Consider the following 8,940-nt stretch of genomic DNA (forward strand, 5'->3'; position numbering starts at 1 on the left):
TCCTGCCTGGCCCCTATGGACAGGCTCCAAGACCACCCAGCACCAGGCCAGCTCCTGCAGCCCCAGGCTCAATGCTGGTACCCACTCATTGAGCCTCTAAGCCCACCCCAGCACCAGCCAGGATCCTGCAGCCTGAGGCTCCAGGCCTGCCCAGTGAACTTGATCTTCATGCCTGCAGTAGCCCTAAACTCCAGACCATCCCTAGCACCAGACTGACCTCTATGGCCCTAGGTTTCAAGCCCACCACACCACCAGGCTGGCCCCTGCAGCTCTAGTCATCAGACCAGCACCTGTAGACTCAGCCTCTAGGATGGCCCCTGCAGATATAAAATCCAGGTCTACCCAGTGTCAAGCCAGCTCCTGAAGCCCCAGGCTTCAGGCCTGCCACAGCACCAGGTCAGCACCTCTGGCCTCAAAAACCAGGTGGGTACCTGTGGACACAGGCTCCAGGCTTGTCCAGTACCAGGCAGGTCACCTTGACTCCACCCTCCATGCTGGCCCCTGCAGCCCCATGCTCTAGCAGACCCAGGATTCAGGCCTATCCCAGTAGACCCCTGCACTAGCATGGTCTCCATGACCCAGGCTCCAGGGCTGACCCTATGTATCTAGGTTCCCAAGGCCTAAGGACTGAGGCTAGCCCTCGGAGACCTACCCTATAGACCGGAATCTGTATACTCAGCATCCAGGCTGGGACCAGCAGATAAATTCCAGGTTGGTTCCCATAGCCCCCGGTTCCAGGCTAGCCTTAGCAAGCTCCAAACACCAGACTACCCCCCCACAGGCCCAGACTTCACACTGGCCCAGCACCAGGCCAGTCCCAGGCTCCAGTCATGTTACTGGGGCCCCAGGCCCCAGAGGACCCAGGGTCCAGGCCTGCTCCAGCATACCCAGGTTCCAGATCCAACACAGCAGACCTGAGTGCCAGGCTGAACCTTATGAATGAAGGCTCCAAGACCCCTTGCAGACCCAGACTCCAGGCCAGCCCCCACAGACCTAGGATCCAGACTTGCCCCATTGATTGAGGCTCCAGGACTGTCCTAGTGCCAGGCCAGCCCCATAGATTCAGGCTGCAGGCCCACCACTCCAGCACCAGGTCAGCACCTGTGGACCCAGGCTTCAAGCTGGCTCCCATAGATATAGGCTCCAGGCTCACTGACATGAACCCAGGCCCCTGGTCATCCATGCACAACCAACCAACAGTTCCACACCAGGGGATTGAGGCTTCAGACTCAACCCTGTGGGCCCAGGTGTCAGGCCCACCTACCTACTGTCCCAGGTGCCTGGCCAGCCTGCCCAAGGACTCTGATGGCAATCTTGCCATTGGATCGTGCCAGACGGCCAGCCCAGAATCTCTGGGTGGGCTGAATAGTGAAGGGCCTCCCAAGATAAAGGCAGTCTGAAAAGACTGAAATAAGCCCCTACTTCCTTAAATGCACAGACACCAATGTAAATCAATAAGAACATGAAAAACCAAGGAGACATAATACAACCAAAAGGACACAATAATCTCCCAGTAGCTGACCTCAAAGAAATGTAGATATACAAATTGCCAGATAAAGAATTCAAAATAATTGTTTTATGAAAGCTCAGTGAAAACCCAGAAAATCCAGAAAATCCAGGGGAACAATTCAATGAAGTCAGGAAAATAATAAATGACAAGAAGGAGAAATTTAACAGAGAGATTAAAATTATATTTAAAAACCCAGAAATTCTAGTGCTAAAAAAATACAATAAACGACATGAAAAATGTAAAAGAACATCAACAGCAGAATAGATCAAGCAGAAGAACGAATCCATGAACTAGAAATCAGGTTATTTGATGAGATTGGGCTTGTTCAGGATGGTATGGCTGTAGAAAATCAGTTTATTTGAAAATATACAATCAGAGGAGAAAAAAATGAATGAAACAGAATAAGGAAAGTATATAGGATTTATGGGACAGCATTAAAGAGCAAATATTGGAGCTAAGAGTTCTTAAATAAGAGACACAGGGGTCAAAATCTTGTTTAATGAAATAATAGCAGAAAACATTCCAAATTTGGAGAAAGATGTGAATATCCAGGTACAGGAAAGGCAAAGTTCTTCAATCCAAACAAGACTACACCAAGACATCTTATAATAAAACTGTCAATAATTAAGGACAAAAGGAGAATCCTAAAAGCAACAAGAGAAAAGAAGCAAATAAAGTATAAGGGACTTTCCATAAAGCTAGTAGGAGATTTCTTAGCAGAGACCTTGCAGGCCAGGAGAGAATGAGATAATATATTCAAAGTACTGAAGAAAAAATCCTGCTAGTAGTGTAACACAAAAGCATATGAAAGTATACAATTCACTGGTGAAAGTAAGTACATGATCATATTCAGAATACTCTAATACTGTAATGGCAATGTGTAAATCATTTAAATCTTTAGTATGAAGTTTAACATTCAAAACTATTAAAATAACAATAGCTACAATAATTTTTATGAGATACGAAATACAAAAAAAGGAAATTGTGATGTCAAAAATTTTAGATGTCGGGAAGGGTGGAGTAAAATTGTAGAGTTCTTTTATGCAATCACAGTAATGTTGTTATCAACTTCAATTAGCCTGTTATAACTATAAGATGCTTTTTGTAAGCCTCATGGTAACAACAAAGCAAAAACCTATAGCAGATACACAAAAGATAAAAAGTAAGGAATCAAAACATACTACTGGCCAGGCATGGTGGCTCACGCTTGTAATCCTAGCAGTTTGGGAGGCTGAAGCAGGCGGATCCACTGAGGTCAGGAGTTCGAGATCAGCCTGGCCAACATAGTGAAACCCCGTCTCTACTAAAAATACAAAAATTTAGCAGGGTGTGGTGGCCCATGCCTGTAATCCCAGCTACTCGGGAGGCTGAGACAGGAGAATCGCTTGAACCCAGGAGGCAGAGGTTGCAGTGAGCCGAGTTTGCACCACTGCCCTCCAGCCTGGGCGACAGAGCAAGACTCTGTCTCAAAAAAAAAAAAATACTACTACTAGAGGAAATACATAATCACAGAAAAAAACAAGAGAGAAATAAAAGGGAAAAATCTACTAAACAATCAGAAAACAATGAACAAAATGGCAGTAGTAAGTCCTTAGCTATCAATAGTTACCTTGAATGTAATAGGATTAAATTTTCCTGTCACAAGACATAGAGCGGCCAAATGAATTTTTTACAAAAACCAGGTGAGATGGTGCATGCCTATAGTCCCAGCTACTTGGGAGACTGAGGCAGGAGGGTTGCTTGAGTCCAAAAGTATGACTCCAGCCTGGGCTACCTAGTGAGACCCCATCTCAACAAAACATAAAACATTAGCCGGGCATGGTGGCACACATGGTCATCCCAGCTACTCAGGAGGATTGCTTGAGCCCAGCAGGTTAAGGCTGCAGTGAGCCATGATCATGCCACTGTACTCCAATCTTGGCAATAGAGTGAGACCCTGTCTCACAAAAAGAAAGAAATACATAAAAACAAAACAAAACAAACAACCCAAAGATGTAGTTCTTTTTTTTTAATTGTACTTTAAGTTCTAGGGTATGTGTGCACAACGTGCAGGTTTGTTACATAGGTATACATGTGCCATGTGGGTTTGCTGTACCCATCAACTCATCATTTACATTAGGTATTCCCCCTAATGTTATCCCTCCCCCAGCCCCCCACCCCCCAACAGGCCCTGGTGTGTGATGTCTCCCGCCCTGTGTCCAAGTGTTCTCATTGTTCAATTCCCGCCTATGAGTGAGAACATGCAGTGTTTAGTTTTCTGTCCTTGTGATACTTTGCTGAGAATGATGGTTTCCAGCTTCATCCATGTCCCTGCAAAAGACATGAACTCATCCTTTTTTATGGCTGCATAGTATTCCATGGTGTATATGTGCCACATTTTCTTAATCCAGTCTACCATTGATGGACATTTGGGTTGGTTCCAAGTCTTTGCTATTGTGAATAGGGCCACAATAAATATATGTGTGCATGTGTCCTTATAGTAGCATGATTTATAATGCTTTGGGTATATACCCAGTAATGGGATTGCTGGGTCAAATGGTATTTCTAGTTCTAGATCCCTGAGGAATTGCCACACTGTCTTCCACAATGGTTGAACTAATTTATACTCCCACCAACAGTGTAAAGGCATTCCTATTTCTCCACATCCTCTCCAGCAGCTGTTGTTTCCTGACTTTTTAATGATCGCCATTCTCAAAAGATGTAGTTCTAAGAGGGAAGTTTATAGCTATAAACACCTACATCAAAAAAGAAGAAAGCAAAACAACCTAACATTGCTCATCAACAAACTAGAAAAGAAAAAGTATAAACTAAGCCCAAAGTTTGCTGGAGGAAGGACATATAAATAACAGTGCAGAAATAAATGAAATAGAGACTATAAAAACAATAGAAAAGATCAACAAAACTAAGAGTTTGTGTTTTGAGAAGATAAAATCACCAATTTTTTTTTTTTTTTTGAAATGGAGTTTCGCTCTTGTTTCCCAGGCTGGAGTGCAACGGTGCGATCTTGGCTCACCACAACCTCTGCCTCCCGAGTTCAAGCGATTCTCCTACCTCAGCCTCCCTAGTAGCTGGGATTACAAGCATGCATCACCACGCCCAGCTAATTTTGTATTTTTGGTAGAGATGGGGTTTCTCCATGTTGGTCAGGCTGGTCAAGAACTCACGACCTCAGGTGATCCACCCGCCTTGACCTCCCAAAGTGCTGGGATTACAGGCATGAGCCACCACGCCCAGCCCAAAATCAACAAATTTTTAGCTAGACTAAGAGAAAAAATGAGGACTTAACTAAGTTAAATCAGAAATGCAAGAGGAGATATTATAAATGATACCACAGAAATACAAAGGAGACATCTATGAACAATGATATGCCAACAAATTGGATAACCTAGAAGAAACAGATCAATTGCCAGACACAGGCAACCTACCAAGACTGTATCATGAAGAAATAAAAAAATCTGAAGACACCAATAATGAGTAAGGAGATTGAACCAGTAATAAAAATCTCCCATCAAAGAAAAGCCCAAGACCTAATGGCTTCACTGAGGAACTCTACCAAACATTTAAAGAACTAATAATTCTTCTCAAATGCTTCCAAGAAAAAATGAAAAAGAGGGAACACTTCCAAACTCATTTTATAAGGCCCCCGGTATAAAAGCCAGAGGACACTACACAAAAAGAAAATTATGGGATGACTGGGCACAGTCACTCACACCTGTAATTTCAGCACTTTGGGAGGCTGAGGCAGGAAGATTTTTTGAGCCCAGGTGTTTGAGACCAGCCTGGGCAACATGGCAAAAACCCATCCCTACAAAAAAAACACAAAAACACCTGTAGTGTACACACCTGTAGTCCCAGCTACTCGGGATGCTGAGGTGGGAGGATCACCTGAGCCTGGGGAGGTTGAGGCTGCAGTGAGATGTGATTGTGCTACTGCACTCTAGCCTGCGTGACAGAGTGAGACCCTCTTTCAAATAAAAAAGAAAGAAAAGGAGAAAGAAAATTACAGGCCAGCATCCCTGATGAATATAGATGCAAAAATCTCAAACAAAACTAGCAAACTAAATTCAACAGCACATTAAAAGGATAATATATGATATTCAAGTGGGATTTATCCCAAGGATGGTTCAACATACACAAATCTATAAATGTGATATAGCACATTAACAGAATGATGAACAAAAACCATATGATCGTCTCAACAAATGCAGAACAAGCATTTGACAAAATTCGGCATTCCTTCATGATAAAAAATTATCAACAAATCAGGTGTAGAAGGAATGTACCTCAACATAATAAAGACCATATGTAACAAACCCAGAGATAACATAATACTCAATGGTAATAAGTTGAAAGCCTTTCCTCTAGCTCAGTAACAAGACAAAGATGGCCACTCTTTTATTTGTACATTATTTTAATAAAAAACACATTGCTGTGTACAAATATACAGATCTCAAATTGTAACATTAAAAGACAAAATGCAATAAAGTGGCTTTATATGTTTTCCTCACTGAGACAGATATTCTGGTGAATCTAGACATTTATGATCATTAATACATAATAAGCAAGAGAAGTACAGATTTTCCAACCTCATGATCAGTAAATTCCTTTGAAAATGAAGGAAGGTATCGGTCATCAAAAGGGGAAATAGTTGGTAAGTTAGATGGCCCTGCCTACACTGTGTAATGTAAGAGACATGATAAGAGCTATAAGAAACTATAGTTAAATGTTAGAAGTAAAGGCAAGGCTGGACGCGGTGGCTCATGCCTGTAATCCCAGCACTTTGGGTAGTGGAGGCGGGCGGATCACGGGTCAGGAGATCGAAACCACAGTGAAACCCCGTCTCTACTAAAAACACAAAAAAAAAATTAGCCGGGAACGGTGGCGGACGCCTGGAGGCTGAGGCAGGAGAATGGCGTGAACCCGGGAGGTGGAGCTTGCAGTGAGCCGAGATCGCGCCACTGCACTCCAGCCTGGGTGACAGAGCGAGACTCTGACTCAAAAAAAAAAAAAAAAAAAAAAAAGGAAGTAACGTCAATATAGCTTTCTCAGATTTCTCCCAGTGATTATATATCTGATATATAAACATCTTCAAATGTGAAATAGTTCAATATGGTTGTATTTGTTCCACAATGACACTTTGCCAATATATTAATGTGATCCATATTTTGAAGTAGAATGATCTATAAAGAAATAAATAAGAAATCCAATAAAGAAACCATTAGTTCCAAGTCAAATTATGTTAAAGGTCTGTAGAAAAAATAAGTGTGGGCAGGAAACATTGGCTACATGCCAATTTTTATTTCAAAGAGTAATGCTTGCACAAATAATAGTTTTCTTTGTCTTGCAAAACAAAACAAAAAAATCCCAAATTAATCTCACAAACCTAAATTAGCTGAACATAGAGTAACAAAGCCAGTATTGTCGTCTGCACATTAGTTTGATAAATCAAACTGCATCTTTGAAAAACCTGCATCTGCTGCTATGTAGAACTGATAATTACTTTTCAACATGTAAACGAAAAATCATTATACAGCTCTCTTTTTTTTTCCTAGAAAGATGTATACCAGGAAAACCCAACAGAATTTGTTACTTGTTAAATCCCACAAAAGCTGCAAGGCAGCTGAGAGTTGATGGCACTTAAGGACAGCAAAGATGGCCACTCTTGCCACTTCTGTTCAACATAGTACTGGAAGTCCTAGCCAGAACAATTAGGCAAGAGAAAGGAATGCATCTAAATTAGAAAGTAGGAAGTTAAATTGTCCCTGTTTGCAGACAACATGGTCTTATTTATAGAAAACCCATAGAAAACTGTTAGAACTAATAAATGAATTCAGTAAAGCTACAGGATATAAAACCAACATACAAAAGCAGAAGTGTTTCTATACATTAATAATGAACTATCCAAAAAAGAAATCAAGAAACAATCACATTTATCATAGTATCAAAAAATACTTAGGAATACATTTAACTAAGGAAATGAAAGAGTTGTACACTGAAAACTATAAAACATTGATGAAAGAAACTGATGAAGACATAAATAAATGAAAAGATATCTTATGTTCATGGATTAGAAAAGTTAATATTGTTAAAATGTCCATTCCACTTAAAGCAATCTATAGACTCAATGCTATCCTGATAAAAATTTCAATGACTTACAGTCCTCCATGACATCAAAAAAAAAAAAAAAGGGAAGGAAAAATTTCAATGACGTTTTTCATAGAAATAGAAAAACAATCCCAAAATTTGTATGGAACCTACAAAAGACCTCAAATAGCCAAAGCAATCTTGAGCAAAAAGAACAAAGCTGAAGGCATCACAATACGTGACTTCAAAATATATTACAAAGTGATAGTAATCAAAAGGCATGGTACTGGCATTAAAACAGACATATAGACCAATAGAACAGAAGAGAGAGCCCCAGGAATAAATCCTCTCATTTACAGTCAATTGATTTTTGACAAAAGTATCAAGAACACACAATAGGGAAAGAAAAGCATTGGAACGACTGGATATCCACATGCAGAAGAATGAAATTAGACCCTTATCTCACACCATATTCCAAAATCAACTCAACTGGATAAAAGGTTTAAATATAAGAACTAAAACTGTAAAACTGCTAGAAGAAATCCTAGGGGAAAATCTCCATGACATTGATATAGGCAATGATTTTTTGGATATGAACCCAAAACCACAGTCAAGGAAAGCAAAAATAGATAAATGAGATTATATCAACTAAAAGGCTTCTGCACAGGCAAAGAAACAATTGATAGAGTGAAGAGACAACCTATGAAATGAGAGAAAATATTTGCAAACCTTACATCTGATAAGGGGTTAATATCTAGGATATATAAGCAACTCATACAACTCAGTAGTAGGAAAACAAATAACCTAATTTAAAAATGGACAAAGGCTCTGAATAGACATTTTTTAAAAGAAGACATACAAATGGTCAACAGGTATATGAAAAAATGCTCAAAACCACTAATCACTAGGGAAATGGAAATTAAAACCACCATGAGATATCACTTCACACCAGTTAGAATGGCTATTATCAAAAAAGTGAAAGTTAAGTTTTGGAGAGGATATGAAGAAAAGTGAACTCTTATATACTCTTGATGGGAATGTAAATTAATACAGCCATTATGAAAAACAGTACGGAGGTTCCTCAAAAAATAAAAAATAGGGCTAGGTATGGTGGCTCATGCTAGTAATCTCAGCACTTTGGGAGGCCAAGGTGGAAGTATCACTTGAGGCCAGGAGTTTGAGACCCCCTTGGATAACAGAGTGAGGCCCCCATCTCTGCAAAAATTTTAAAAATTGGCTGAACATGGTGGCACACACCTATAATCTCAGCTACTTGGGAAGCTGAGGTGGGAGGATTACTTGAGCCCAGGAGTTCAAGGCTGCAGTGAGTTATGATCATGCCACTG

General features: G+C 40.6%; 1 pseudogene; it reads right to left on the minus strand.

Moving 5' to 3' along the window:
• On the minus strand, positions 5,876-7,174 carry LOC727681 (NSL1, MIND kinetochore complex component, homolog (S. cerevisiae) pseudogene; annotated as a pseudogene).

Source organism: Homo sapiens, chromosome X (assembly GCF_000001405.40).
Source record: "Homo sapiens chromosome X, GRCh38.p14 Primary Assembly".
Lineage (NCBI taxonomy): Eukaryota > Metazoa > Chordata > Mammalia > Primates > Hominidae > Homo > Homo sapiens.